Source organism: Homo sapiens, chromosome 19 (genome assembly GCF_000001405.40).
Source record: "Homo sapiens chromosome 19, GRCh38.p14 Primary Assembly".
Taxonomy (NCBI): domain Eukaryota; kingdom Metazoa; phylum Chordata; class Mammalia; order Primates; family Hominidae; genus Homo; species Homo sapiens.
In genome coordinates this window covers 35717998-35745575 of record NC_000019.10, presented here as the reverse complement: position 1 = coordinate 35745575, position 27578 = coordinate 35717998, and the positions used below count along the sequence as shown (strand labels likewise).

At 59.2% G+C, this 27578-nt stretch overlaps 3 protein-coding genes across 24 annotated transcripts, besides 10 other annotated features; 2 read left to right on the top strand and 1 right to left on the bottom strand.

Moving 5' to 3' along the window:
• Positions 158–3112, top strand: U2AF1L4 (U2 small nuclear RNA auxiliary factor 1 like 4). 9 transcript variants are annotated; one of them, NR_163170.1, is made up of 9 exons: positions 158–228; positions 364–451; positions 838–950; positions 1155–1253; positions 1431–1506; positions 1672–1767; positions 2231–2280; positions 2368–2421; positions 2773–3049. NR_163170.1 is itself a non-coding variant. In NM_001369824.2 (6 exons), the coding sequence occupies exons 1-6, from the start codon at positions 185–187 to the stop codon at positions 2971–2973; spliced, it is 420 nt and encodes a 139-aa protein (NP_001356753.1). In that variant the 5' UTR covers positions 158–184; the 3' UTR covers positions 2974–3112. The 9 variants fall into 9 exon arrangements, 3 of the variants coding, with proteins under 3 accessions (NP_001356753.1, NP_659424.2, NP_001035515.1); NR_163172.2 differs by lacking the exons at positions 2231–2280; positions 2368–2421 and adding an exon at positions 1036–1085 and having other exon boundaries at positions 389–451; positions 1158–1253; positions 2957–3112; NR_163173.1 differs by lacking the exon at positions 838–950.
• Positions 1446–1606: a silencer, noted in NCBI's record as "fragment chr19:36234871-36235031 (GRCh37/hg19 assembly coordinates)". NCBI's record gives its function as "represses an EF-1alpha promoter that drives an FKBP-Casp9 reporter gene in an ReSE screen in phorbol 12-myristate 13-acetate-treated (for megakaryocytic differentiation) K562 erythroleukemia cells {active_cell/tissue: K562(+PMA)}" and the evidence as "EXISTENCE:reporter gene assay evidence [ECO:0000049][PMID:32094911]".
• Positions 2942–3371: an enhancer, noted in NCBI's record as "active region_14497". NCBI's record gives its function as "activates an Ori minimal core promoter by ATAC-STARR-seq in GM12878 lymphoblastoid cells {active_cell/tissue: GM12878}" and the evidence as "EXISTENCE:reporter gene assay evidence [ECO:0000049][PMID:35858748]".
• On the top strand, positions 3124–6775 carry IGFLR1 (IGF like family receptor 1). 10 transcript variants are annotated; one of them, NR_144338.2, is made up of 5 exons: positions 3124–3180; positions 4353–4552; positions 5012–5196; positions 5490–5866; positions 5950–6775. NR_144338.2 is itself a non-coding variant. In NM_024660.4 (5 exons), the coding sequence occupies exons 2-5, from the start codon at positions 4396–4398 to the stop codon at positions 6294–6296; spliced, it is 1068 nt and encodes a 355-aa protein (NP_078936.1). In that variant the 5' UTR covers positions 3124–3180; positions 4353–4395; the 3' UTR covers positions 6297–6775. The 10 variants fall into 10 exon arrangements, 5 of the variants coding, with proteins under 5 accessions (NP_078936.1, NP_001332935.1, NP_001332932.1 ...); NM_024660.4 differs by having other exon boundaries at positions 5488–5866; NM_001346006.2 differs by having other exon boundaries at positions 4348–4552; positions 5807–5866.
• Positions 4719–4828: an enhancer, noted in NCBI's record as "active region_14496". NCBI's record gives its function as "activates an Ori minimal core promoter by ATAC-STARR-seq in GM12878 lymphoblastoid cells {active_cell/tissue: GM12878}" and the evidence as "EXISTENCE:reporter gene assay evidence [ECO:0000049][PMID:35858748]".
• Positions 4909–5038: a silencer, noted in NCBI's record as "silent region_10538". NCBI's record gives its function as "represses an Ori minimal core promoter by ATAC-STARR-seq in GM12878 lymphoblastoid cells {active_cell/tissue: GM12878}" and the evidence as "EXISTENCE:reporter gene assay evidence [ECO:0000049][PMID:35858748]".
• Positions 5176–5806: an enhancer, noted in NCBI's record as "H3K4me1 hESC enhancer chr19:36230671-36231301 (GRCh37/hg19 assembly coordinates)". NCBI's record gives its function as "activates a minimal SCP1, AML or CMV promoter by ChIP-STARR-seq in naive H9 embryonic stem cells {active_cell/tissue: H9 hESC(naive)}" and the evidence as "EXISTENCE:reporter gene assay evidence [ECO:0000049][PMID:30033119]".
• Positions 6698–27573, bottom strand: KMT2B (lysine methyltransferase 2B). Of its 5 annotated transcripts, none has more exons than NM_014727.3 (37): positions 27195–27573; positions 26035–26107; positions 23772–25792; positions 23104–23217; positions 22858–23008; positions 22302–22581; positions 22074–22129; positions 21569–21844; positions 20845–20939; positions 20489–20587; positions 20243–20356; positions 19951–20097; positions 19758–19853; positions 19223–19340; positions 18307–18420; positions 17954–18138; positions 17789–17878; positions 17591–17695; positions 17405–17478; positions 16687–16802; positions 16500–16591; positions 16280–16417; positions 15451–15609; positions 15114–15234; positions 14960–15038; positions 14709–14869; positions 13441–13668; positions 12068–13361; positions 11890–11979; positions 11704–11813; positions 8749–8886; positions 8590–8664; positions 8313–8490; positions 7833–7940; positions 7634–7717; positions 7385–7514; positions 6698–7294 (listed from the first exon to the last, which is right to left on the bottom strand). In NM_014727.3, the coding sequence occupies exons 1-37, from the start codon at positions 27555–27557 to the stop codon at positions 7019–7021; spliced, it is 8148 nt and encodes a 2715-aa protein (NP_055542.1). In that variant the 5' UTR covers positions 27558–27573; the 3' UTR covers positions 6698–7018. The 5 variants fall into 5 exon arrangements, 4 of the variants coding, with proteins under 4 accessions (NP_055542.1, XP_011525863.3, XP_047295743.1 ...); XM_011527561.3 differs by having other exon boundaries at positions 23772–25726; XM_047439787.1 differs by lacking the exon at positions 21569–21844.
• Positions 26784–27341: an enhancer, noted in NCBI's record as "H3K27ac hESC enhancer chr19:36209137-36209694 (GRCh37/hg19 assembly coordinates)". NCBI's record gives its function as "activates a minimal SCP1, AML or CMV promoter by ChIP-STARR-seq in naive H9 embryonic stem cells {active_cell/tissue: H9 hESC(naive)}" and the evidence as "EXISTENCE:reporter gene assay evidence [ECO:0000049][PMID:30033119]".
• Positions 27139–27188: a silencer, noted in NCBI's record as "silent region_10537". NCBI's record gives its function as "represses an Ori minimal core promoter by ATAC-STARR-seq in GM12878 lymphoblastoid cells {active_cell/tissue: GM12878}" and the evidence as "EXISTENCE:reporter gene assay evidence [ECO:0000049][PMID:35858748]".
• Positions 27239–27318: a silencer, noted in NCBI's record as "silent region_10536". NCBI's record gives its function as "represses an Ori minimal core promoter by ATAC-STARR-seq in GM12878 lymphoblastoid cells {active_cell/tissue: GM12878}" and the evidence as "EXISTENCE:reporter gene assay evidence [ECO:0000049][PMID:35858748]".
• Positions 27359–27428: a silencer, noted in NCBI's record as "silent region_10535". NCBI's record gives its function as "represses an Ori minimal core promoter by ATAC-STARR-seq in GM12878 lymphoblastoid cells {active_cell/tissue: GM12878}" and the evidence as "EXISTENCE:reporter gene assay evidence [ECO:0000049][PMID:35858748]".
• Positions 27449–27498: a silencer, noted in NCBI's record as "silent region_10534". NCBI's record gives its function as "represses an Ori minimal core promoter by ATAC-STARR-seq in GM12878 lymphoblastoid cells {active_cell/tissue: GM12878}" and the evidence as "EXISTENCE:reporter gene assay evidence [ECO:0000049][PMID:35858748]".

Here is a 27578-nt window from a genome sequence, read left to right as displayed (position 1 = left end):
CGCTGTTAAAAGAACTCCTACCGGGGAGTCTATGGGGAGGGCGCGCGCCTCCCACGCGCAAGCGCCCTGGGGCGTTTCCGAGCGCTTGGTAAGCGCCTGGAGAGGGCAACGAACTACACTTCCCAGTGCTCCTAAGCAACGGAAGTGACGTAAGAGCAGCCAGACCTGGAGGGCTTGGGTAAAAATGGCTGAATATTTAGCTTCGATATTCGGGACTGAGAAGGACAAGTGAGAACGGGCGCTGGGAGTGGACTCTCGGGGGGTCGGGGCCGGGGTACTGGGGTCCTGGGTGGTGGGGCGGTGTTTCTGGGGTGCCCAGCTTCCCCGGCCCTCGGTTCACCTTTGTCTTTGCACCTTTTCCAGGGTTAACTGCTCTTTTTACTTTAAGATCGGGGTCTGCCGGCACGGGGACCGGTGCTCCCGGCTTCACAACAAGCCGACATTCAGCCAGGTGAGACCCGGCACGGAGCCTCGGGGGTTAACGGCTCCCTGGCCCTTCCCCTTCTGGGGCCGTCGTCACCATGTCCCGCCTATTCCGGGTTCCTGAGTCCCTCCCCACCGCCCGGCTTTTTTTCTCATTGGACCTTTCTGCAGGCTCCTCCCACCGGTCTTCGTGCCGTTTTCCCGGGAACTTGGTCGCGCCCCCATGCGTACAGGCTACACACGGCGGCTGTTCATCTTTGCCAGTCCCTTCCATCCCGCTGTTCATCCTTGCCAGTCCCCTCCATCCCTTTTCTGGTTTCTTAGGGGCAAAGGATCGCCGATGCACTCATGATGCTTAGGCTGGGGTGTAAGGTTCCACCCCCAACCTTCATGCCTCACTCTCTGTTCATGCAGCCCTGCCCTCTGAGCTCAGGCCCCGCCCCTTTTAAATTCTGTGCAGACCATAGTGCTGCTCAACCTGTACCGGAATCCACAGAACACAGCCCAAACTGCAGACGGATCACACTGTGAGTAAGGGACCAGGCCTGGGGGCAAGGTGAACAGCCCCCAGTAGGCTACACTCTGATTCCACCCTGCCCGCCCCCACCCCAGGTCATGTGAGTGACGTGGAGGTGCAGGAGCACTATGATAGCTTCTTCGAGGTGAGGGTTGGTAGGGGCAGATGGGGTTTCTTGTGGGAGCTCAGCTGAGTTCCTCCCCGTCTTCCACAGGAGGTGTTCACAGAACTGCAGGAGAAGTATGGGGAGATTGAAGAGATGAATGTGTGCGACAACCTTGGGGACCACCTCGTGGGCAACGTCTATGTCAAGGTGCTTGCTGCCCCCCACTTAGGGCCCAGAAGTGGAGGCGTTTCAATGCCTGATGGTGGCCACTGTAGGCTCTCAGCTTGAATTTCATCACTAAATCCAGTCCAGCCCCAGAGCGGGTAGTGAGTCCCCTGAAGATCTCTGAGTTCTCCTGCTGACCCTGACTGACATTTCCTGCAGTTCCGGAGGGAGGAGGATGGAGAGCGGGCCGTGGCTGAACTCAGTAACCGCTGGTTCAACGGGCAGGCTGTGCACGGTGAGCTGTCTCCTGTCACTGACTTCCGGGAGTCATGCTGTCGCCAGTATGAGATGGGGTATGGTAGTTCAAGGGTGGGATGGGCACTTGGAATCCCAGACTTTGAATGCGTGGTAGGGGCTGTCAGTGACAATGGCTTCCTCCATCTCTCTACCCTCTATGCAGGGAATGTACCCGAGGTGGCTTCTGCAACTTCATGCATCTGCGGCCCATTTCCCAGAACCTCCAGAGGCAGCTCTATGGGCGGGGACCCAGGCGCAGGTACCTCAGGACCAGCCTGCTATGTCTCCTCATGTCCTAAGGCCCCTATATCCTCAGATGAGCCTAACCCTAAGCCCCAGTAACCACGTTCCCAAGAATCTTTTTTTTTTTTTTTTTTTTTTGAGATGGAGCCTCACTCTGTTGCCCAGGCTGGAGTGCATTGGCACCATCTTGGTTCATGGCAACTTCCGCCTCCCGGGTTCAAGCAATTCTCTGCCTCAGCCTCCCAAATAGCTGGGATTACAGGCACCTGCCACCATGCCCGGCTAATTTTTGTGTTTTTAGTAGAGATGGGGTTTCACCATCTTGGCCAGGCTGGTCTGAACTCCTAACCTCGTGATCCACCTGCCTCACCCTCCCAAAGTGCTGGGATTACAGGCGTGAGCCACCACTCCCGGCTGACTGTTTTTTTTTTTTTTTTTTTTTTTTTTTTTTGAGACGGAGTTTTGCTCTTCTTCCGCAGGCTGGAGTGCAAAGGCGCAGTCTTGGCTCAGTGCAACCTCTGCCTCCCAGGTTCAAGCAATTCTCCTTTCTCAGCCTCCCAAGTAGCTGGGATTATAGGCACCTGCCACCATGCCTGGCTAATTTTTGTATTTTTAGTAGAGATGGGGTTTCACCACGTTGGCCAGCCTGGTCTCGAACTCCGGACCTCAGGTAATCCACCCATCTCGGCCTCCCAAAGTGTGGGGATTACAGGCGTGAACCACTGCGCCCGGTCATTCCCAAGACTCTTATACCCTAAGAGTAGTTCTGAGCTCCATCTGGAGACCAGTACCTAAGTCCCAATCCCCAAACCAGCCTGAACCCCTAATCCACGACCAGCCTGGATTGCCACCCCTGATACTGGCCACTGAGTTCCCCTGATACTGGCCACTGAGGTCGTGTCTTAGAACTCTAGTTATTTCAGCACCCTCCTGCCTCATCCCAGAGCAGAGAGGCAGGCCTGCAGGATCTCTGCACCACTCCTCAGGGTTCTAACAGAACTCTCAACGCTCCTATTCCCAGGTCACCCCCGAGGTTCCATACTGGCCACCATCCCCGAGAGAGGAACCATCGGTGTTCCCCTGATCACTGGCATGGCCGCTTCTGAGGCCCTGGCCCCCTTACCCTTCACCCCCAACAGGGACAGATGTTCCTGGCAGGACCTCTCCTCAAAGCCCCCTTCACTCTCCTGCCCCATCCTTCCCAGGCTCCCGGGCTCCATAATGTAATCTGTTCAGCATGGAGACCTTCTTCTACCGCCCCTGTCTTAATAAAGCTGCGTGTTTCACTTCGGCATCAACTTGCTTTTGCTGTGGTTTGGCATTTCCCTCCACCCACACATGTGACGAAAAGGGGAAACAAGACTGGGTCCTGGCCACAACTTCAGCTGAGGAACTTGGCACGGCCAGCTTGGGACCCAGGACCCTAACGGTACTGGTAGGGTGGGGACACCTTTGTGCTGAAAACCTTAGCACCTCCATCTGAGGCTTATTCAAGGGGGAGAGACCTGGTTGTGGCAGGTGGGAGGAGCCCTAGCCCCAAGGAGATTAGGATTCAAAGGTGAGGTGAGGTGCTGGGAGGTGGTCTCCAGCCAGTATGGGGCTGACTCCTCCGTGCCTGCCGAATTGTGATGGGAGTTAGTAATGCCTTACACTTAAACACTGAGTTTACTGTATGTGAGGTGCTGTTTTCAGCACTTTAGTTTGTTTTTGTTTTTTTTAAGGAGTTTCATTCCTGTTGCCCAGGCTGGAGTGCAATGGCACGATCTCAGCTCACTGCAGCCTCCACTTCCCAGGTTCAAGCAATTCTGCCTCAGCCTCCCAAGTAGCTGGGATTTACAGGCATGCGCTACCACGCCCGGCTAATTTTGTATTTTTAATAGAGACAGGGTTTCACCATGTAGGCCAGGCTGGTTTTGAACTACTGACCTCAGGTGATCCACCCACCTGGGCCTCCCAAAGTGTTGGGATTACAGGCATGAGCCACTGCGCCCGGCGGCCAGTTTTTTTTGTTTTTAGAGATGAGGTCTTGCTGTGTTGCCCAGGCTGGTCTGTAATTCATGGCTCAAGCAATCCTCCTACCTTGGCCTCCCTAGTAGCAGGGACTACAGACGTGAGCCACTGCACTTGGCAAAGTGCTTTGCTGTTTTTTTTTTTTTTTTTTTTTTTTGTAAAGATGGGGTTTCATTTTGTTGTCCAGGCTGATCTCTCGAACTCCTGGGCTCAAGTGATCCTCCTGTCTTGGCCTCCCAAAGTGTTGGGATTACAGGCATGAGCCACCACACCCAGCCCCTGCTTTACTTCTAATGACGGTTCTAATTCTCCACAATAACCCTATGAGACAGGTGCTATCATTGTCTTATTTTAGGGATGGAAAAGGGAGGGTGGGTGGGTGAGGACACGGCAGAGGTGGGATATGCATTCTTGCAATCTAGATCCGCAGCCCTGTTAGTCCCCTAGTGGCCTTGTGGGCTTCTCTGATAACCGGCTCAGTTGGGGGATGAGGGCTCGGGGGTAGATTCCCGGCTTCCGAAGAGGCGTGAGAATTCTGTTCCCCCACATCACCGCGTCCTTTCTTCTGCCCGATTTCCCCGGAAAGTGTAGCAGAGGCGCTGTGTTTGGAAGTCCCGCTATCACGGCCCCCCAGATGGGGCCTGGACGATGCCTCCTGACGGCCTTGTTGCTTCTGGCCCTGGCGCCACCGCCGGAAGCCTCCCAGTACTGCGGCCGCCTTGAATACTGGAACCCAGACAACAAGTGCTGCAGCAGCTGCCTGCAACGCTTCGGGCCGCCCCCCTGCCCGGGTGAGAATCCGAGACCGAGCCTTGCTTGGGCGGAGCTTGCAGGTGATAGGGAGCGGGGAAGGGGCGAGGTCTGTGGGCTACGGGCCAGAGAGGCTTGCTTAGGGGTCTAAGCGGTGGGCCTTATGCAGATCAGACAGGGATGGCAGGCAGAGCCTGTGCAGATAGTGCGGGCTACCGTAGGGCAACAGCGAATGGATATGGCTGGAGAGGCGGGATAGGGGCCGCGTGGAAAGGGTGGGCTTTATGTAGAGAAGCCGGGAGTGGGCGGAGCTTCGTGCGGAGCAGGCTGGAGGGGGGTGAAAAGGCGAGCCCGGAGAAAAGTGACAAGACCGGGGCGCACGCTAATAGGCTGGAAGCGTCCTGGAGGGGCGGGGCACGCTGGGATAGGGCGAAGGGAGAGGGCGTTGCCCGCGCAGGGGCGGGCTAGGCGGCCGCACTGGAGCGCAGCTTTCCCGCTAGACTATGAGTTCCGGGAAAACTGCGGACTCAATGACCACGGCGATTTCGTAACGCCCCCGTTCCGAAAGTGTTCTTCTGGGCAGTGCAACCCCGACGGCGCGGAGCTATGTAGCCCCTGCGGCGGCGGAGCCGTGACCCCTACTCCCGCCGCGGGCGGGGGCAGAACCCCGTGGCGCTGCAGAGAGGTGCAGATGGGACTCCCGGCAGGGCAAGGGCGTGCTGGAGGTGGGGGGCCTAGATGTAGGGAGCCGGCGTAGCCCCACGTAAGGGGTGGGGCCGTGGTTTCAGGAGGTGGCTGGCCTGCAGGGGTCGGGAGGTCCTAGGTTAAGGTAGTTGGGCCTTGCGGGGCCCAACTACCTTATCAGATACCGTATCAGATGGGATGTGGCCCCATTAAAGGATATAAAGTTGGGAGGTTTGGGAGCGGGCAGGAGTGGAGTGTGGCCTCCAGCTTTACTCCAACCCCTTATCCCCAGAGGCCGGTCCCTGCCAAGGGGCACTGCCCCCTCACACCTGGAAACCCAGGCGCCCCTAGCTCCCAGGAGCGCAGCTCACCAGCAAGTTCCATTGCCTGGAGGACCCCTGAGCCTGTCCCTCAGCAGGCCTGGCCGAATTTCCTTCCGCTCGTGGTGCTGGTCCTGCTCCTGACCTTGGCGGTGATAGCGATCCTCCTGTTTATTCTGCTCTGGCATCTCTGCTGGCCCAAGGAGAAAGCCGACCCCTATCCCTATCCTGGCTTGGTCTGCGGAGTCCCCAACACCCACACCCCTTCCTCCTCGCATCTGTCCTCCCCAGGCGCCCTGGAGACAGGGGACACATGGAAGGAGGCCTCACTACTTCCACTCCTGAGCAGGGGTTAGTCCTGGAGGAGCCCCGGGGCAGGGAAGGTGGACTGGACGCCCGCTCTTCCGCACCTTTACCCTTCCCCTTTCTTCCAGAACTGTCCAGTCTGGCGTCACAACCCCTGTCTCGCCTCCTGGATGAGCTGGAGGTGCTGGAAGAGCTGATTGTACTGCTGGACCCTGAGCCTGGGCCAGGTGGGGGTATGGCCCATGGCACTACTCGACACCTGGCCGCAAGATATGGGCTGCCTGCTGCCTGGTCCACCTTTGCCTATTCGCTGAGGCCGAGTCGCTCGCCGCTGCGGGCTCTGATTGAGATGGTGGTGGCAAGGGAGCCCTCTGCCTCCCTGGGCCAGCTTGGCACACACCTCGCCCAGCTAGGGCGGGCAGATGCATTGCGGGTGCTGTCCAAGCTTGGCTCATCTGGGGTTTGCTGGGCTTAACACCCAATAAAGAACTTTGCTGACTACTAAGCCCAGTATACAATTAGCACTGAAGTACTTCTTGAAGTACAATCCTAATTGGGCAAAGACCCAACAGATAGCCTCACTGCTCTTCGCCCTAGAAGGGCCTATTCCAACATACACACAGGGCCACATGTGGGAGGGCTGACCCCAGGTGCCTCTGGGCCACCAGAATCCCCTCTGGGAAACAACCCTGCTACAGACAGTTGCTGTGTTGTGTTGTTCTGAAGCCGTAACAGACCCCATGACTGACTTCTAATTCTGAATGATGGCCTCACCTACCTGTTGAGGCTGATGAACTTCCTTGGGTCATGATGGGTGGGTGTGTAGAAGTGGGGTTCCTACCTGCCCCCACAGCCTACAAATGGGAAGACCACCTCTCCAAACATTGACAGACTTTATTGTGGGGGGGTTCCCACCTGGGACCCCACCTCTTAAATAAAAAAGTGCATAGAAAAGAAGGGATTTAGAAACCTTTGTACAATATCTACATCCTGGGCCCCCAGGGCAGAAAGGGGGCGATTGCTGGATGGGCTGGAGGGGTGGAGGCAGGGCCCTTGTCACCTGCATGCCCACATCCACCCTGAACATGAGGGTGGGGGTGAGATGCTCTGGGAGGGGCTAGGGAGCCCCCAGGCTAGGGGCAAGATGGCAGCGACGGCAGCAGGAGGTGTGAGGGGTCGTGGTGGGCAGCCACGGCCTCAGTTAAGGAACCGACGGCAGCGCTTGGCGCCACAGTTGCAGGGCAGCTTGTTGCTGGCATCCTCGATGGGGAACTTGTAGTCGTAGGTGAGCTCCTCACCACGCAGGATGCGGCGCAGGGCGAAGATAACAATGTGTTTCTGGCCCTCCACGTGGATGACCCGAGAGAAGCAGTTGGGCTCACAGGAGTGGTTGATGAAGCGGGCGGCATTGCCATGCATCGTGGCGTCCACTACATCAAAGTCATCCATGCGGAACATATAGCACCCGATGCCCTGCAGGGATGAGGTGGGGAGATCAGGTGCTCTGTCCCCGCGGACAGGCTCGCTTCACCCACTGTCTTCCCACAGCCACTGGGAGCCCACCTTCCCATCGTAGAACTTCTCCCGCTTGTCAGTCAACACCGAGCGGATGACAATGCCAGAGTACTCGATGACCATCTCCCCCGCGTCGATGTTGCGCTTACAGAACAGGCCTCGCCCGTGGATGGCTGATCTGCAGGGCAGGATGAACAGGGAACTCAGGGGGGAGGGGGACAGAAACCAGACAGTACCCCCTACCCAGTGCACCTGTCCGTCCACCCAAGGGGCATCCTCCCCCCCAACCCCACTCACCTGTAGACACCCACAGCTTCTTTGGACGTCTTCTTAAGGTGACGAAAACGCATGGCCATGGGCAGCTCCAGGCTGGTGGCACGTCTGGTGAGGGACAGCAGTGTCACCCAGGCTGGTGCTCAGAATGACCTCTCTCACCCCTGCTCACTCTCTAAGACCCTTCCAGACCACCACCCGCCCCCCAGCTCACACTCCATACCTGGTTGACCTGAGCTGCACCTCATCCTCTTCCTCATCACAGGTGGCCCCCTCAGGGAGCACCCGGTGCTGGGAGGCCAGGAAGTTGAACATGTCAAAGGTGCACTTCCTGCAGGTGGCAGCAGGGGAAGGAGGAATATACTGTTGAAGACAGAGCTAACAGGGAAATGGGTGGGGTTCATTTTTCTGATGTCAGCTCTAGAAATAACTTTTTTAAATTTTTATTTTAGAGATGGGGTTTTGCCATGTTGCCTACGCTGGTCTCCAACTCCTGGGCTCATGCGATCCTCCTGCCTCGGCCTCCCAAAGTGGCGGGATTACAGGCATGAGCCACGGAGCCTGGCTAACTCTAGAAATAACTCTTCAAGTGACCTAGTGTCTCCTCCCCAGGCCTCAGTTTCCAACCTCTACAGTTAACTCCCACCCTCAAGAGCTCTCATAGGGGCGCCCTGACCCAGGCATCACACCCCAGACCTCTCACCGGAGATAGACCTCTGCCCGAGCAGCCCCATGGGGATTCAGGGGCGGCTCCTCCTGGCCCTCTCCCTGCTGGTGGTAACGGAACTTATAGTGCTGGCAACGCTGGGCTCCGGGGAGCTGCTCGGCCAGGAAGATGACAGCATCATGGTGGATGCCCAGGAGTCTCGCCCCACTCATTCCTGAGGGGAGATGTTGAGGACACACCTGTCATGTGGAGGGCCCATGGTGCCCTCGGGGAGACATCCAGCTCCCTGCCCCCTGTGGGGCCCACTCCTTACCACTAAAGGAGAGATGTCTGAGTCGGGCATGCCCTCGGGCCTCTTGCACTTTCTCGATCAGAGTTCTCCACGCCCCTGGGGAGACAGCAGAGCCAGAGCTGAGTCAGGATGGTGTTTTATGGACACTCTCCCTCCTGCCACTGCACTCCCCCCACTCACCCTCCAAGCTCTCTGCCTCAACGCTGAACCCATCCTCACTGCTGATCTCGAAGCGCAGATGTGGGCCAGTCCGTTTTGGGGCCTGGTTCTCTTTATCATCTGGGGATGGAGGCTCTTCCTCAGAGCTCGAAGCCTCACCTGGTCCCAAGAAGCAGGTTGGAGTGAAGATCACCCTTCCCGGACTCAAAAGCCCCTGAGCCCCGCTGTGCTCCCAGCAGACACCACTCTCTCCACCCCTAGGCGCAGACACAGATACTAGGGTCTAATGGCCCTCCTTCTGCTCCAGTTACCCAGTGAGCCCTGCAGAATGGACATTTCTTCCCCTAAGGAGCCTGCGGCTCCTCTTCTGCAGGACTTCTTGGGTACAAAAGCATTCCACAGAGGCTTGGGGCCTTTTGGCTCTTCAGGACACGCCTATGGCTCACTCAAACCCAGTGTACCATACATCCCATCTACCTGTCATTATTCTGTTTCTCACACAAAATTTAAAATACTGGAGAATTGTATTTTGCACATCTATTTTTTTTAGATGCAGCAAATTTCTGTAACTGTTACAAACATAAAATTATCATTTTTTGAGACAAAGTCTCGTTCTGTCTCCCAGGCTGGAATGCAATGGTGTGATCTCGGCTCACTGCAACCTGTGCCTCTCAGATTCAGGCAATTCTCCTGCCTCAGTCTCCCGAGTAGCTGAGATTACAGGCGCCCACCACCACGCCCGGCTAATTTTTGTATTTTCAGTACAGATGGTGTTTCACCATGTTGGCCAGGCTGACCTCAGGTGATCCGCCCGCCTCGGCCTCCCAAAGTGCTGGGATTACAGGCGTGAGCCACTGTGCCCAGCTACAAATATATTATTATATAGGCTCACATGCACAGAGCCAAGTACACTGTATGTTATGAGCTATTTAGGGGATTTCTCGAGGGTTAATAGATTAAACAGGGCAGACGGGATATGCTGACGTAGTAGATGTGGATGTGAAGAAGGGGGATGGGGGTCGGGACAACGCTGGGCTTGAACACCTGGAAGGATAAAACTGCTGTGGACTGAGACAGCGAAGGCAAAAGAAGAATGGGTTTGGCGTGCAGGTGGAGGGCTCAGTTTGGGACAGGCTGACTTTGAGAGGCCTCTTAGAAACCTCCCCCTGCAACCTGCTGGTGGAGATGGTGGGCAGGCAGCAGGACAGGATGGAGGAGGCCACAGTTCAGGGACAGGGTCTAGGCTGGAGAGAGCAATGTGGAGACAATCAGAACACAGACGGGAGGACAGCCACCAAGCTGGAAGGGAGCCCCTGGGAGTGAGCATACACAGAAGTCAAGGCCAGGGTCCCGGGACACATCTAGCCTGACAGCTGTGAGCAAGGAGGCAGGACCAGAGGTGAGAGCAGGAGCAGCCTTGGAAGCCGGGAAGACAATGCTTCAAGGCGGGAGGGATCCGCTGCACCAAACGCTGCTGCTGCTCAAGCAGGTGTGGGCTGGGGACTGACCACTGGGGGTTGGGGGCACAAAAGCTTGAGTGGAACAGGCTTTAGGAGAGGCAAAACCCACATGGCCACACTCTCCCGATGTCACCTCTCCAGGCCACCCTGCCCCACCTCCCCTGCCCCAAGGGAGACTCTAAAGCAACACTCCTGCCGTGTGACTCCCGTCTTCTCCAGGCCTCAGTGCCCCAGAGTCCACCTCTGTCAACTTCTTCCCTGTGTCCCCCAACCCTCACTTCCAGTTTCCCAAACACAGCAGGACTGACCACAGGACCCTGGCAGGTGCTCTCACTGCTCGGTTTCTCAGTGCCCACTCTAACCTGCCCTTGCTAACATGTCTGTGTCCCGCACCAAAATGTGGTCTGATCCCTGAGGACAGGGACCTCCTAAGGCCACTGCCATATTCTCATGTCATCTCTGAGACATAAGCAGCCTCTGAGTTAAGCACTCTCAATCCACGTCACTCTGCTTCCCAGCTCAGCAACTGAGCTGTGTGTCATGAGAAAATCCAAACATCTGGACAGGATTGGGCCACCACAAAATCCCAGCCTCAGGCTGCTCGACCACCAGCTTACCTGGCCGCAGCCACTCCCCCAGCCACTGCCCTCAGGGACCAACAGAAAACTCCACCACTCCACCGCCAGCTTCAAGGAGTCCATCAGCCAAGCCTCCTCCAGGGGCCTCCACCCCATGTATTACAGTTTCTGCATAAACACCTGCTTTCCCTCCTCTCCTTTACCTCAGAGGTCACCAGTTCAAAACCAGCCACCAGGCCTCTTCCCACTGCCTTTTCCATCCCAGCCTGCCCTTCCCTGCCATCCATGGCTCCGCTGTCTTGGCCCTCACACCAAGCACCTCCACGCTGCTCGCCCACCTCCCGCTCCCGATCCTTAGCTGAACTCTGGCCAAGTGCTTGGGCTGTTTTGCCTTCTTCAACCATGGTCTCAATTCTGGACTTGGACACAACGCCCCACCCTGTGCCACCTGCTCTCACTGGACACCAACGCTAGACTCCACAGGCCTGGCAGTCTCTGTGGCAGCTGAGATGTGACGACTCCCTTCCCTGGGCCTCTGGGACACCACTCTTCTGATCTTCCCACTGTCCCTGACCCTCATCTCGGTGCTAGCTGGGCTGCATTCCCTCTAGATGATCCTAGAACTTCACCTTTGGCTACTCTAGGAAGCTCTCTCTCAGCTCCTGGCAGGCTAGGCTCTGAGGCCCTCCCCTAGGCTCTTGGGCATGCTGGACAAAGACCCTTAAAAGGATCCCACGTAGAGGCGAAATGTCATTTCCATGTCTGTTTCTCCCACAAGGCCAGAGGCTCCCCAAGGTCATCTCTAACTCTAGCACCGAGCCTCAGGCTTGGCCCCTGGGAGTAGATACTGGTTTTGAAAGAGGGCTGATTTTGCATCTGTGAGTCACCCAGCTGAGCCAGGCACAGGCAAGGAGGGAGAGGGCAAGGCCGGTCCCTACCTGAATAGTGGTGCCACTGGGACTCAAGCAGCAGGTCTGGGGGACCATCGGGGACCTGGGGAGGACCATCTTCCGGAAGTGGCAGCAAAGGGGACCGTTCCTGGAGGGGCCTGCGAGAAGAGACCTGTCAGGAAGGGGAAGGACAGAGGTCCCAGACCCTCCAGGGAGAGGGGCCTGGCCACTCACCCAGGACTTTCTTCCCCAGCGGGCTCCCCAGGCCGATCCAGGTCAAGGACCCCACGCACTGTGGGGGTTTTCATCCTCACACGGCTAAACCTGGGAGGGCGAGCCCGAGAAGGATGAGCCGCATCTCCCGCCCATCTGCCCCCTTGCCTGCTCTGCCAGCCTCAGCACCCGCACTCACCCGCCACTGCCAAGCCCTGGAACCTGAGGGGTATCCTCTGAGGCCTCTCCATCTTCATCCAGCCGGGGGGCTTTGTATGGGGGAGGTGCTGGCGGGGACCGGCCGGAGAAAGTGGACACCCTCTTGACGCGGATGGCCTGGCGGGGCGGGCTGGCTGGCCCACTGCTCAGCACCAGCGTCAGGGGAGGGGGTGGCGGGGGCGGGGCAGGGCGGACCACTCCGACCACGGGCAGCACGCCGAGGAGGGGGCCTGGGGGCAGAGTCCAGGAGGTGGGAGCCGTGGGGGAAATGGTGGGGGGCAAAGGTGGCTGCTTCACTGGGGGTGGGACAGGTTCACCCTCCCCAGCCATCTTCACAAATACTTGCCCCAGCTTGTTGACAAGTATGATTTTGGATGTGGCGGGTTTGGGGGGCTCAGGGGCAGGGCCAAGGCTTAACACCCGGACCCCTGGGGCCCCTGGGAGCCAGGCAAATGTGCGGGTGGGGTCAGCTGGGCTGGCGGTCAGGCCTTGGGAGGGCTGGCTGCCATTAGCCAGGGGAGGCGCCGGGGGGAGTGACTCCTCTCTAGGGCCAGCACCTCCATCCCCAGGACCCCCTAGGTTCTTCAACACAAAATCCACAATTTCCGATGGCAGGTCCTCAGGAGGCCGGGCCCTGTCCCCTGCAGCCCCAAGGACCCCTGCCCGGACTACTCCTGGCCCCGAAGGAGGCGTGCCCTGGCCCCGAGGCTGCTGCACCGCCTCAGCCTCACTGTCAGTGCCGTCGTCCACGCCGTCCAGCTGTTCAATGCGGGGGGCTCCAGGGGTAGCGCTGGGGGCCAGACCAGGGGCGGACACCACAGTCACAGGGAAGTGGATGTAGCGGGAGGTGGGGCTGGACTCCTCCTCGGAGCTGTCCCCCGGGCCCCCGTGGCTGCTCCCCATGGCCCCAGCGGCTACAATCTCTTCCTGGAAGGGCTCAGTCCCCAGCAGGCTGGCCGCGAAGTCCAGGTCAGCAGCACTCAGTCCTGACACCACCTCCATGTCCTCGAAGTCTGGGCCCAGGTCTTCAGGGGGTGGTGGAGATGGGGCCGGGCCAGGGGGAGCCAGCTCCCCTGAGGTAGGTGTGAGGGCTGTGACGACTGAGGTAGGAGGGGGCACCCTGAGCTGAGGGGAGGTTTTTAGAGGAGGGGAGGCCCACCGTGATGGAGGCGGCCTGGGAGCCAAAGGGCTGGGACGACGGGAACGTCTGGGGGGAGCTGGGAAGTCCGGGTCTCCCACTGTGGGGATGTGGTGGGTCAGTGAAGATGGACTTCCTGTGGGGGGAGGGTTGGTGTTACCAGCAGCTCCCACCTCCGCGGCTCCACCCCCAACCCCCACATGCCCGGTGCTCACCAGGGGAGGGCAGGGGGCCAAAGGAGACACCCCCCAAGGGCCTCCGGGATGGCGAGTAGTTGGGCACTTTGATTCGAGCCCCCGAAAAAGAACGGGGGGCTGGAGGAGGGGCGCTGCCTGAATCTGGCCGCAGTGGAGGGTCCAGGTTCTGAATGGGCGAGTGGCGCTCAGGAGCTCCAGGGACAAGAACATCTGTGTCCAGTGGGGGGTCCTCACCACCTGGGGGCTCTGAAGAGGCGAGAAATGGCATTGGGGTGGTAGGGGCTCTGTGTCAAAGCCTGCCCACATGCTCTCATCCTGAGCCACTATGCCTCCCAGGTCCCCGACCCTGACCCAGTCACAACAGGCCCCAGTTTCCAGTGACCACCCAGGCTAAACCCACCGTGGAGTTGGCAAAACCTGCACACACCTGGGCCAGGGGGCCTTCAGGGCCTCTCCCCACTCGCTCCTTGCCATCTCCTCTCTGCCTCTGCTGCAGGCTTTGCACGCCATGGGGAACTGCCCTCCCTCCAGCACGGCCAGTCCTACCACTTTCTTACTTGCCTGGTGCATCCAAGCCACATCAGACGCTCCCGCCCGCCCCGGCCCGGAGGCTCTCCATTACCTGGCTCCACCCAACCTCTGCAAACTGATCTCCCTCCTCCACCCAAAACTCCCTGGTTTCCAGACGGGATGGGTGTACCCTCCTCCTCTGTCCACTTCTTGTCATGCTCCAACCTGGAATAAAGCCCTTCCTACCATCCAAATCTCTTCTGCCTCCTGCTCTGCCCACAATAACCTCTCCCCCATCTCCAAGCCCATTCTTTGCCCTGTGCCATCCAGCTCTCAGCCACATCCCACAGCCAGTGTGGCTGTAAGGGGGCCGGTTTGGGAGCTGAGCAGATGCAGTTCCAATTCCAGCTTCCCTAGCATGTTACTGTGTTCAGCCACTGTCCCCTTCAAGGTGTAGTATGGCGACACTGGAGAGCGCTCCATGAGCACAGTGCCCCAAGTTAGGGAGCTGTAAGCACTCTACTCCCTGCAGTCGTCCAAAAGCCAGTACCCCACCTCAAGTAGGCAGCGTGCCGCTCTCCCCACCTCACTTCCCATGAAAAGCCGGGCACAGCCCCTGGCACACAAGGCATGGCAGTAAGCGAGCTGCCGTTACATTACAGCAACTGAAGCAAAAGCAAGCCTCCTGGACTTTCCAAAAGGGAGCGGGGAACAGAGATCTGTAGGTTTGTTTAGGGAGAGCGGTATTCAGGAAGAAGACAGAGCCAAAGCCACACCTGAGGAAGGGGCGGGGCTGTGCACAATGGTCTGGTTCTCCTCTGCAGCCTCCAGGTGAGCTGGCTCTTCCCTCGGCCCCCATGGCCGATACTCCAGAATTCGGCACCGATACCAGCAGCGCCTCCGAGCATCCACTGTGCTCCAGTACAGACGGGAGCACCTGGCATGTGGGATAAGACGGTTAGGATGCTTGGGAAATGGGATCCAGCTATGGAGTCCCCTGGCCCCATGGATCACCCCGACCGCTCACTGGTAGCCAATGGGGAAGAGCCGTCCCTCGCAGTCCGAGAGATCAGACAGAGTACCCAGGGAGTCAATGCGGATGGAACCTGTGGTGCAAAGCGGAGGTCAGGAGAGGCAGGCAGGACAGGGTAGGAGGACAGGGCGGAGAGCAGGCAGCTTACCAATGAGCACGTTGATGGCATCGGGTTCAAGCCCCGTCAAGAACTTCCGCTTGAAGTTGATGCCCTCGAAGTCCACATAGACTCGGCGGAGAACATCAAAACCATCGGGGTTCACAATTTCCTGGAAGAGGGGGTGGCAAAGTGAGGTGGCTGCATTGGTGGGGGAGGTGGATGCCAGGGAAGTCTGAACAGTCAGGGGCTTGGCCTAAAGGCCTCTGGGAAAACAGATGAGGAGACACTGAGAGGCAGTAGGGCCAGGCCTGGGGGCCACGGGGGTCCCTAAGTGAACAGGAAGAGAGGTGGGGAAGGAACCGTGTACCCCACAGTTCTGGCCCACCTTGCCATCCAGGAGATCAGTGTGTTTCTGGCAGAAGACTTTCTTGTCATCCTGGAAGATGCAGTAGCTGGCCCGGGCACACATGAAGTGGAAGTTGCTGAGGCAGGAGGACAGGCAGCAGCCCACCGTGGCGCCAGGCTTCAGGCAGAGCTCGCAGCGCTGCGTAGGGGAGGGCAGCTCAGGGGAGAAGCCAGGGCTGGGGCTGGGCGCCAGGCACCACTGTCACTGAGTCTGCATGGGTCCCTGTCTAGCCTGGCACGGCAAAGGCTCTCCCTAGGCGCAGCCTCTCCCCAGCCGCATCCAGGCCCAGGTGCACACCAAACTCTCTCTGGTTCTTTGAAGCAAGAATGACAATACTTGCTGATAGCATTAGTGTGATTATCTTTGTCACAGTTTTCAGGCGGAGGTTGTGTTATTTTCATCCTCACAGATACCCCCGCAGTGGGAATCTCTACCACCCCAATGCCCGAGAGTGCCTGAGGTCTCTCTGTACCTGGCCCAGGCACCACTGTGAGGAGTGGGGGAATTCTAACCTCACGGGGATGTAGTGAGAGCTCAACGCCACCCAGCATGGAAAGCGTGCAGCCCAGGTTCAATCAATGGGCACTCTTCTCACTTTTAGACTCCCACACTTCAGGCCCAGATTACAGCCAGAGGGCCCACATAGGAAAAAGCTGCCATCAGCACCAACGTCCCAGGGCAACCAAGAGACCTCAGCCTGGCAGTGAAAGGATGCCAGGTAGGGAATGTGAAGTAAGAGCTGTTTGCACCGGAGGAGGCCTCCCCAAGAGCCAGAGAGCTGTCCACCTCTCTGCGCCCGCGCCCTCACCATCTGCCTCCCTCGGGCCACAGCAGCATGCACATTCTTGAGGGAGCCGTCGTTCTCCTCGAAGACTTCCGCCGACCAGATGGCACAGTTGACGTGTGTCCACTCGTTCTGCCCGATGTACAAGAGCCGCCCCGCCTCCTGGGGCAGAAGAGGAGTGGCATGATGTGGGGAGGCCAGGGAACAGGCCCCACAACCTGGTGCGTCACAGAGCAGCCCTCACCTTGGAGTCTGCATCCCCGTATTTGAGGCAGAGTGCACACTGACGGGGGTCCTCCAGGTGTGAGAAGGCAGCCGGATCCTTGCCCTGGAATGCTGAAGAGGAAATGTGAAGGGAGGTCTAAGAATCAGGACCCGGAGCCAGGCCACCAACACAGGGCCCTGGCTTCTGGACCCCCACTTCCCAGTACCTGCTGAGGGATCCCCTGGAGGCTGCCCTGATTCTGGGGTCTCTGGTTCCTGCTGTCTCCACTGCGCATAGACATGATCCAGGGATGGGGGCAACACCGCATTGGGAAGGACTCCGCTGTGGACAGGCAGGGTTAGCAGCTGATGTGCCCAACAAGGGCAGCTGAACGGGGGCCCATCCACAAACCAGCCTGAACTCGCCATGACACCCGCTACTCCCTCTCTATGTGGAATTTCTCTCAGTCCACCAAATAAGCCAGGCCCTCTTGTGCCAGCTTGGACATACGAAATGCTGCTCCTCATGCCTGCAATACTCTTCCTCCCCAGCTCTGCTCCAATGCCATCTCTTTCAGGAAGCCTTCCCTGACACCTCGGCTCCAGCAGGTACCCCTCCGGGCCCCCACCGCCCCCTGGTATTCTCCATCACTGCCCTGACCATCTGGGTCTTCAGTGCCTGCCCGGCTCCACAATGAGCTCTTTAAGCAGAGCCCAATCTGATTCGCTCACTGCTTTGTCCCCAGCATTCCCCTGCACAAAGCAGAAACAAAGCTTTGCTAGTCTAGAACCACCAGGGAATCTCACCTGGGTTCCACCACCCTCCTCTCCAGCTCTGCTCCAGACCCTACCTCTGCTCATCTCTTCTCAGCCCAGCGTGGCCCCTGCATGCCCTGGCCTTGCCCTCACTCCCCGGCTTCCCTTCTGCTACCCAGCCTTGCTCACTTTGGCAGCCGGGTACTCCGTCGCCAGTACTTGGGGTCGTGGGCGTCGAACCAGCCGAACGCAGATTCTAGCAGCTGGGGAGTGGGTTAACAGGATGAGAAGAGCCAGCTTCCCCAGGAGAGCTGGCAGGGGCAGGGTCTGAAGGTCCCACTCCCCCACCCCACAAGCATCCCCGGAAGAGCTCACCTTCAGCAGGAGCCCCTTCATCTGGCCTCCAGCCCGGCGGTCCGGGGTCTCTCCCTCCTCCGAGTGCCGCATGAGGATGCCCACCATGTCCTCCATGAAGCTGTGCTGTAAGGGGGTTTGTCAGAGACTGAGTCCCCTCTGCACAATTCCAGCCCTCTCCTCCTGCCACCCACCTGCTCCTCCTGGTGTACCACTCACCACAGACTTGTAGTGGCCATCCTCGAAGCGCTGACTCACAGCTTGCAGGCCGCAGGGTCCTGGGTGCAGTTGCTTCCCATCTGGCCCACACTGCAAAGCGGGGAAGTTAGCAGGGCTGGGGGTGGGCCTAGCCCCGGCCCATCCTGCCTCCAGGGCCCTCCAGACCTGGGTGCAGAGCAGCAGTGGGCCCACCACCTTGGAGCTCAGCAGGCCCTGGAGCACCTGGCGCAGGCCCCCCTGGAGGGCCCCGCTCAGGGCCTCTCGCCAGCGGGGCTGCGCTGCCCCAGCACACGGTCCGCAGGTGTACAGCACCGAGTCTGGCAGTCCTGAAAGGATCTCGTAGTCTTCATCTAGGATAGCCAAGTGGGAAAGGGAAAAGTGGTTTCAGAGGATGTGAGGGCTCCCAGCAGCCCCTAGGCCAGCAAGGACCCTTAGCCCACCAGTCCTCTTGGGGCCTGTGGTGGGGGCAGGGGTCCCCACAGGGTTGAGGCTGCAGCCCAGGTGCTCCACTGACTCACCTGAGAGCCCCTCGCACTTGGCATGCACCCAGTGATCGCACTGTGCGCACTGCATCATCTTGCTCTCATAGTCGTTGTCTTCATAGCAGCGTGTACAGATCGGGCAGTAGTTTCCTAGAGAAAGGGAAGAGAAGGAGTCAGAGGTGCTGGAGTTCCCACTCAGCCCTGAGTGTCTCTGTTCAAGGATTAGCAGTACCTTAGCTGCCTCCACTATGCCCCTGTTTTGGGCCCCTACTAGTCCCTAAAAGCTCCTTGAGGATGAGGCTTTTTTTTTTTTTTTTTTTTTGAGACAGTGTCTTGCTCTGTCACCCAGGCTAGAGTGCAGTGGCAAGATCTCCGCTCACTGCAACCTCCGCCTCCCGGGTTCAAGCGATTCTCCTGCCTCAGCCTCCCGAGTAGCTGAGATTACAGGTGCCCGCCATCATGCCCGGCTAATTTTTGTATTTGTAGTACAGATGGGGTTTCACCATGTTGGCCAGGCTGATCTCAAACTCCTCACCTCAGGTGATCCACCTGCCTCAGCCTTCCAAAGTGTTAGGATTACAGGCGTGAGCCACTGTGCTCGGCCTTAGGATGAGGCCTCTTTTCAGACTCTGCAGAACACAGGGCCTTGCTAATGTACTGCCTGAATAAGGCTTCCAAACCGCTCAATGGAGACGTGAGGTTCCAGGAAGTACCTCAGACACCAAGACAGTGGGGTCCCAGGCCTTCCACTCCCACCACCCTCAGAGGAGCTATGTGTCCCTGTTTTACATACTGGATGGACTCCTGTGGAAGAGTTCCCTGAGTTGAAGAGATAGTCCCATAGCTACAAGGTGGAAAGCCATGAGAAAAGAGGGTCTGTGCTAAAGCCTGTAAAAGAGCCTGGCCATTCCCCTGTGGCCCCCAGCATCCAGTTCCCCTGCCCGGTCCCCACCTTTCTCATATAGCTGGGTGCACCTGGGGCAGAGGCTGTAATCTCCAGACCACTCGACGTCCCAGTTCTTGCCTGGAGTTGCCCCACAGCTCTTACAGCGCACACAGGCTGAACAGATCTGGGGGAGCAGGGCGATGTTAGGGGAAAACCAGGCACTGGACTGGAGCAACATGAGCGGGAGACGGGCGAGGAGGAATTGGGGATATGCAGGAAGCAGGCAAGGAGGGACAGGTAAGAGGAGAAAACACGCAGGACAGACACGGAGGAGGAACATGAGGGCAGGAGAGGACATCAGGCTATAGCAGGGGATTCTGAGCCCACGGAATGTGAGATTCATAAGCCCCTAAAACCACTCCATGCAAATTCTGAATATAAATCTGACCTATGTGAAATTTTTGAAGAGGAAACATTACTAATCAATTCTTAAGAGGATCCCCAACCTCTGCTCCTCCTGAGAGCCCCAGCCTAGAGCAAGTTTGGGGGTGGTGGTGATATTCATTAGAGACAAAGCAAGTGGGTGAACCTCATCTCTCACCCAGTGGCGCCGTTTGCGCGTGGCCCGGGTTGGATAGCTGGGCCCCAGACAGGCCGGGTGGTATGCATGGCGGCAGCGCTCGCACTCCAGGAGGTGCTGTTGGATGTGGAGACAGAGATGGCGAAACCTGCTGGCACAGGGATGCCCTCACCTTCAGGCCTCCACCCACCCTGGCCAGCCCTTGGGCCCAAACCTTGGATCCACGACCTTTGCGTCCACAGACGTGGCAGAATTTGCAGCGACGGCAGCACCAGGTGTCGTGATGCTGGGGCAGGGGCCGCTCGGCCTCCTCCAGGCAGAATGGGTGGAATGGGTCACAGCAGACTTGACAGAACACCAGCTGGGGACAGGGTAAAGGAGTGAATGATGGGCATAGCATGAGGCCAGAGGGCCAAGGGATGAGACCCAGCTGAGAGGGCCCAAGGAATCAGGCCGTGAGGACCGACAGAGAGCTGGGGGTCTGTGAAGAAAGGCAGAGATCTAACCTCGTGGAGTCCTTTGCTGGCACACAGCAAGCACACCATCGGGGGGCCCCCTGGCACAGAGGTGAGCACACTCAGGCCCCCCATCAGCCACACGTTCTCTAAATCACAATCCTCCTGGGGGAAGAGAGGATGCAGGATCAGAGGGCCGCCAGGCATACAAGGCAGACCCACCTGGCTTCTCGATGACACAGTCATCGAGGTTCTTCCAACCAGAGGCTCTGTGACTCGCCCCACTCAATGCCATACCTTAAAATCCACACGGACGCGGTGCACACCATCGGGAGACTTCTGCTTTCCAGTCCAGCCATTGGGAAAAGAAGCAAAGGGGCCAGGGGCCAAAGCATCCTGGGGAGGAAAGGTGGGGGAATTCAGAGCTGCCAGCCTGGCCGTGATGCAGACTCCTCTCCTCACCGCCTTTCCCCCAGCCTACTGGACCCAGACCCTGATCCAGACCCCTTTGCTTTCCAGACAGGCAAGGCCCGCCTCATCCCTCAGGGCCTGTCCTCTCATGTGGACACACCACGACACTCAGGTGTGTCTGTCACTCTGACTTGCCAGGTAGCTCCTGGAGGGAAGGGGCTCTCGGAGCGGGCCGTGCTGACCTTGTCCAGGCGCCTTCGGGCCTTGAGCTGCAACACAGGCTGCAGGGTAGGTTTGCGGGGCCGGCTCTGCTCCTCAGGTTCTGGCAGTGGCAGCTCTAGGCAGGACACAATGAGCAGTGAGGTCACTCCCCTTCCACGCCCCTCTTCTTCTACAACCCCAAATGTTACCTGGATTCCCAGGGCCTTCTTTAACTAACCAAGACCCGCCAGGACGATTCTTTTTCTTGTTTTTTGAGGCAGGGTCTCGCTCTGTTGCCCAGACTGGAATGCAGTGGCGTGACCCATAGCCCACCGCAGCCTTGAACTCCCAGGCTCAGACGATCCTCCTGCCTCAGCCTCCTGAGCAGCTGAGACCACAGATGCGTGCCACCACATACAACTAACTTTTGCTTTTATAGGGATGGGGTCCCACTATGTTGCCCAGGCTGGTCTTGAACTCCTGGGCTCAAGTGATCCTCCCACCTTGGCCTCCCAAAAGTGCTGGGATTACAAGTGTGAGCCACTGCACCAGGCCTAGGATGACCCTTAAGTCTCACTCATTAGGCTCACTGAGAACCTCATAGGCCAGTTCTGTACATCCACCTAAAAACTGTCTCCTCCTCCGCCCTCAGCCACCTTCTCTATCAGACTGACAGAGCCCTGGGTCTGGGTGCCTTGTCCCTCCTACACAAAAGACACAAGACCAAATAAATGATCAACAGAGAAAGCATTAAGCAGTTCGCACCATTTTCTCGGGGGGTCCGACGCCGAGGAGCAGGGGGGCCCCCGGGCTCCGAGTCATCCGAATCCTCGAAGATATCATAGGAGGGTCGCTGTTTGACGCAGCGCCGAGCTGACTTGCGCTGCAGGAGGGAGTCCTGCTCCTCGGGCCCTGGGTGGGCCACCACCTCCTCCCGGGGCCCCCCAGCTCCCGCCCCCCGGCGTGGGCCTGGAGGACCAGGGGAGGCCTCAGGAGATTCATCGGAATCCCAGGGCAACAGCGTCTTCACTATCGTCCGGCCTGCGGGAACAGGGGACTTAGTAGGATTTGAGCTCAGCCAGGGACATGGGACACTGGGAGAGAAGCCAGAAAGAAGCGGGGCAGGGAATGAACGCAGGAGCTATGAAAGCACACAACGGAGAAGATGGAGAGGGTGAGCTGCAAGGGAGGAGAGCAAAGAAAAACAGCTCCCTCCACAGCACAAACTCTAACACGGTTTTGAGAAGAAATGCTCCTTAAAGCTCGTCACCTTTTTTAGCCAGTCGTTCCATCTTCCGAGCCTCTATTTTGTCACACTTCCGGTATCTGGGGAGGGGAGCAGCACGTCACCAGGGTAGGGGACTGGTGGTCTGGGGGAAGAGAGGAAGCTCTCCACAAGAATGCCAACCCCACTGCTCTGGCCAGGCAGAAGAGGAGTGAGGTAGGAAGCCTAGGGGACCAACAACCACGGGAATGAGGTCACGCCCCAGCTACTCACACACAGCACTGCTTCTTGGTGTTAGGGCCCCCAAACTTGGGCTTGTCTAGGCAGTTGACACAGGACCCACAGTCCTGCACACGTAGGCAGCCCCGACAGTGTCCACATCGAGCCATGCGCATCTTCTTGCCGTGATGGGAGGGCAGTGAGCGCCGGGGTGTGTGGGCCAGGGTCCCTCCAGAACCTGTGGGCTCTGATTCTCCCCCAGGGCCTGCTGCCTCCACCTTTCCCCGCCGGGACCGTGACGGGACACTCTCAGTCTCGGACGCCGATGATGTATCTATTGCAGCAGGCAGGGAGGAGGGGATGGAGCCACAAAGCCACCAGGCTTCTACCTCACTTCCCTGCTTTCCCACAACCTGGCTCTCGCTTTCTCACAGCGCCAGGTTCCTGGTGCCCCCAAATGAAGTTGCTCTAGGACCTAGCACTCCAGCCCACTTGCCACCTAACCCCTGAGCACCTGACTTGGCTCCCTCTCTCCTAGGCTCTTGGTGCATGTCACCCAAGTGTGGGGTCATCCCCAAACCTGACATGGCTGTCCAGTCTCCCCACCTACCCTCTGTGGCGAGGTCCTGCCGATCCCGGAGAGGGAGGGCACTGAGGCGAGGGACATCTTCAGGCACCATGGCCCGGGCCTGACCCAGGGCCACAGCAGCATGACGGCAGACATGTTTGATGCGGGGACCTTGCACAGGGGACTCGGGACCCTGGGGGAGAAATCGGAGTGTGTGTGGGCAGCTTGCGCTCCCGCAGCCCCACTCCTCCCGCCAGTCTTCTTCAGGGCCCTCCTCCCGATGCATACTGAGGGCCGCTCTCTCTTAGCTTCCACCGACTCATCTTCAGACCGGACAGGGCCTCTGTCGGAGATCTGCTTGACAGCCCCGGCCACCTCCTCCATCTGCCCTCCAGGGCTCAGCTGGCAGGGAATAAACAGGGTCAGGGGCTGGACAGTGAGGAAAGATAGGGACAGGGAGCTGGGTGTGGTGGCTGATGCCTGTAATCCCAGCACTTTGGGAGGCCGAGACGGGCAGATCACGAGGTCAGGAGTTCAAGACCAGCCTAGCCAATGTGGTGAAACCCTGTCTCTACTAAAAATACAAAAATTAGCCAGGCGTGGTGATGGGCACCTGTAGTCCCAGCTACTCGAGAGACTGAGGCAGGAGAATCTCTTGAACCCGGGAGGCAAAGGCTGCAGTGAGCCGAGATCACGCCACTGCACTCCAGCCTGGACAAAGTGAGACTCGGTCTCAAAAATAAAAAAAAAAAAAAAAGGAAGATAGGGACAGGGAACTAGCACAGAGAAGGGCCAGGTCTGGGGAGGAACAAAGGAAGGTGGGGGATCACAGAAAGGCAGGTTCTGAGGGTTCCCCGCAATGCTGGAAAGTGTCCAAGGAGGCGGAAGGTTAGGGGGTTGCAAAGAATGGAGGCTGGATGGCTGGGTGTGCCGCTGGGCCCAGGGACCACACTCACCGGCATGGAAGCTGCCACCTTCTGCTGCTGCTGCTGATCGATCTTGAATAGCTGCACTTTGGCTCTCTTGAGGAGGCTGAACATCTTCTCCTCTACCCCAGACAGCGGCAAGGAACCCACGCCCGCAATCCGGGCTTTTTCCAGGGGAGGCATCTGCTGTGGTGACGGCGGTGGCTGCAGCTGTGGCTGTGGTGGCGGTAGTGCCTGGGGCAGGAGCTGGGTTTGCAAGGCCTGCAGGGGCTGCAGTAGCTGAGCCTGTGTCTGTGGCCCGTTGCTCAGAGCTGGAGCCCCGTGAGGGGACACCTCGGCCTTAACAGGAGTGGTGACCACAGGGGCGAATCGAGGCAGGCTGAGGTGGTTGGTGCGGCCCACTGCCCGAGGCTCAGGCTCAGCTGGAGAGTCATCGGCAGGAGGAGGCTCTGGCTCAGGGGCTTCAGGAGCCCCAAGAGGAGGAGGAGTAAGCACCGATTCGTAGATCTTCAGGTGGGCTTCGCTTGGGGTAAACTGAGGGGCCCGAAGGAGTAGGGGCCTCCGGGAGGAGGTGGCAGGAGCAGGGGGTGGGGAGGGGGCCGGGGGAGGTGGAGGGGCTGGGGGAGGAGGGGGCAGCTCCCGGGTCAGTGAGGTCCAGCGAAATGTGGGTTCCCTTAGGATGGACCGTCTCTTCTCAGGGAGTGGAACTGGGGTAGATGGAGGAGTTGGGGCACGTGGTGGAGAGGGGACTGGTGCTGGCTCCTGGGGAACAGGTGGGGAGGTGGTAATGGGAGGTCGCAGGACAGGTGAGACCTCCACCTTTGGGGGTTTGGGGGGGTCTTCATCCATAAATCGCCGGGGTGTCTTGATGACACGGGAGGAGCGGGCACTCACCACAGGCATAATAAACTGCCGGATATTCTTCAGGAAGGTGGTGCTTTTGGGGGCCACGGTGGGACTGTCTTCCGGAGGGCCTCCCGTGGCGGTGCTGGGGGTTGGAGTGGGAGGAGAGGTGCCCTCTGGCCCTGCCCGAGCAGCTTCCCGCTCCGCCCGCTGGCTGGGAGTCAGGGGAGGCCGGCCCCTCTTCCTGGAGCACGTAGCTGGGACCACAGGAGGAGGGGATTCCTCCTGCTCCTCTTGGGCAGGAGGCGGTGGAGGGGATGGTAGAGGTGGTGGGGACACTGGGGGTGGTGGTGGAGGGCAGAGTGGGGGTGGAGGAGATGTCGAAGGGGGTGGGAGGGGTGGAGGAGGTGAAGGGGCTGGAGGAGTCAGAGGCGGTGGTGGCAGCTTTGCCTCTTCCTTTTCCGCAGCTGGCATCATCTCCTCAGCTACAGCTCTTTCTTCCTTCTCTTCTCCCTCCTTGTCTTTTTCTTCTTCTTCTTTCTTCTCTTCTTCCTCGTCATCCAGCTTCTGTTCCTGCTTTTTCCAGCAAGGGCTCCCTCCCTGTCCAGATCCAACTCTTCTTTGGGGGACATCCTGCCAACTTTCCTCATGTTGACCTTGACCTTGACCTGATTCGAGTCCCAAGGACAATTGTCCCATCTTTACTTTTTTGGCCCTTGAAACAAACTTGATCACAAAGGGGAGCCCACCACCTCGGCCGCGGCCCCTGCCTCCACGGCCTCCACGGCTTGACTGTCCTCCACGCCTGGGGGTCCCAGGTCCTGGACCGGGCCCCTCCTTGCATTTCCAGCTGCCAGTCTGATGTTTCACTGGAACCACAGGAGGTGGGGGCTCAGGTTTGGGGATTGTCACAGCTGCTTCTGCCACCACTACTGCTTGCTGCTTCCTCCTGCAGGGGCCTGCTGGCCGTCCTGGGGGCCGTCCCCGAGACCGCCGGGGGGTGGAGGGCTCACATGCCCGGCTCCGGGGTGCTTGGGGTGCCTGGGCCCGCCGGAGAAGTTCAGTCAGTGCCTGCACCATCCGTTCTGTGCCTTCCTCACCCCGTTTCCGGGCAGGGGTCTTTGGGGGGGTAGGAGCCACATCTGCTAGGCGAGGAGGAGGAAGGGGGGTCGTCTTATGCTTGCGACCCCGACCTCGGGGCGCTCGACCTAAAAGGAGAATAGTTGTGGGGAGATGGATCAAGCCAGCCCTACACACAGAGGAAGGCGCTCCAGGAGGGCAGGGACTAAGTCTTGCTTGTGTGTTTCCCCCGCTGCCCAGACTAGCTTGGACTCTGAACACAGAACACATTCGGCAACTGACAGAGGCTAGTTGAACAGGGAAGAGCTGACACGAAGGGCGAGGATAAATTCCTGTGACGCTAAAGAGGTGGAGTTCCCCCGTCACTCACCTCGCTGGGATCGGAGCGCAGAGCGCAGGGAACTGGGGGCCACATCTTCATCTGAATGAAAACCCTGAAACTCCTGATTTAGGGGACCGGGGTGGAGGGGAGAAACAGCAGTCAGTGCCAAAGCCCTCGTTCCATCTGAGGTATCGAGGAATATCCCCAGTTCCCACTTAGCATACCCCTGCCTATTTAAAAAGAACGAAAAAGACTCAAAGGTCGCGGGTAGTGGAAGAGAGGGTCTCTCCCTAGGGATGGAGGCGCCAGGTATTTCGAACTCCGATCCCCAGTGCCGGACCACACCAGCACAGCCAAAGCCATGGTTCACTGGCCCAAGAGAGAAGACGACAGGGTCTCCTCAGGAAAGGCAGCAGGCCCCATACTCAGATTCCTTCAGAGTCCAATTCAGACCAAAGTGGGACCTCCACTGACACCCTTTCGGGCCACAATTTATTTCTGCATTAAGTTGGGAACAGGGGCCCGCAAGTGAAGGGGCGGGGAGGGCATCAGATGGCTTTCGTACAGGCTCCACTGCGAGCTCTCAGGTTGTTATTAACCGTCCAGGGCAACGCAACCCACACCTTCCTGCCTGTTCTGAAAGGCTGGGGGAGAAATCCTGAGCTGAGCTCTGACCTGCTAGAGTGCCCAGTCCCGGCCTTCATCCCACTCCTGTTCAACCCGAGCCCCAAGAGGAAGCCCTCCACCACTCTACCTGAGATGCCAAGAGAAACTGGGGCCCTGGAGAAACCAGGAGGTTGCGAGGCCCGGCGGGGCGGCCCACAGGTAAGAGCCCAGACAGCTCCAACCTGTCTGCCAAGGCCACGCTGCCGCTGTCAACCACGACTGGCTGGACATGCAGTCCCCACTGCCTCCTCGCCCAAACCTCCACCGCCCTAGCTTTGCCAGCTGCCGAAAAGGATCGGCCCAAGACACTTCAGCGGGACCGACATCGGGCGCGAGTGCCTGGCTGCAGCCGGGGCTTCTCTACCCACTTCCAGAGGCCCTTTCCCCCGGAAGCTGCATGCAGCCGCCCTCCCTCCGTGCCCCGTCTCTCCGAAGGAACCCTGAGGACCCGGCCTGCCCACGCCGCCCCCGGGACAACCCAGACCCCTGGAAGCCCCGGCCTCCGCCCCACCCGGCGCCGGGGACGCCTCCAACCGCCTCACCTCCTCGTCGGATTCCCCGTCACTGCTCTCCTCCTCCGGCACGCAGCCTCGACTCGGGCCCCAGCCCCGGCCCCGACCCCGTCCCCGGCCCCGCTGGACCCGCGGGCCGGCCCACAGGCGGCGGAGCCGGCGCAGGCCCCGGCGGAGCCCCAGCAAACGGAGCAGGGCCGTGTCCTCCCCGGGCTCGGCTCCGCCCGGCCCCGTCGCGCCACCGCCGCGCCGCAGAGCTACCCGCACTCTTTCGGCCCCGTTGCCCCGTCCGCCGCGGCCCCCGCCCCCGCCGGCGCCCCGCGGCCGGCCCGGGAAGCGGCCCCGCGCGGAGCCAGGCCCGGGGCAACTGCCGCCGCCCGCCGCCGCCGCCATCTTGGCACCGTGAGAGGGGCC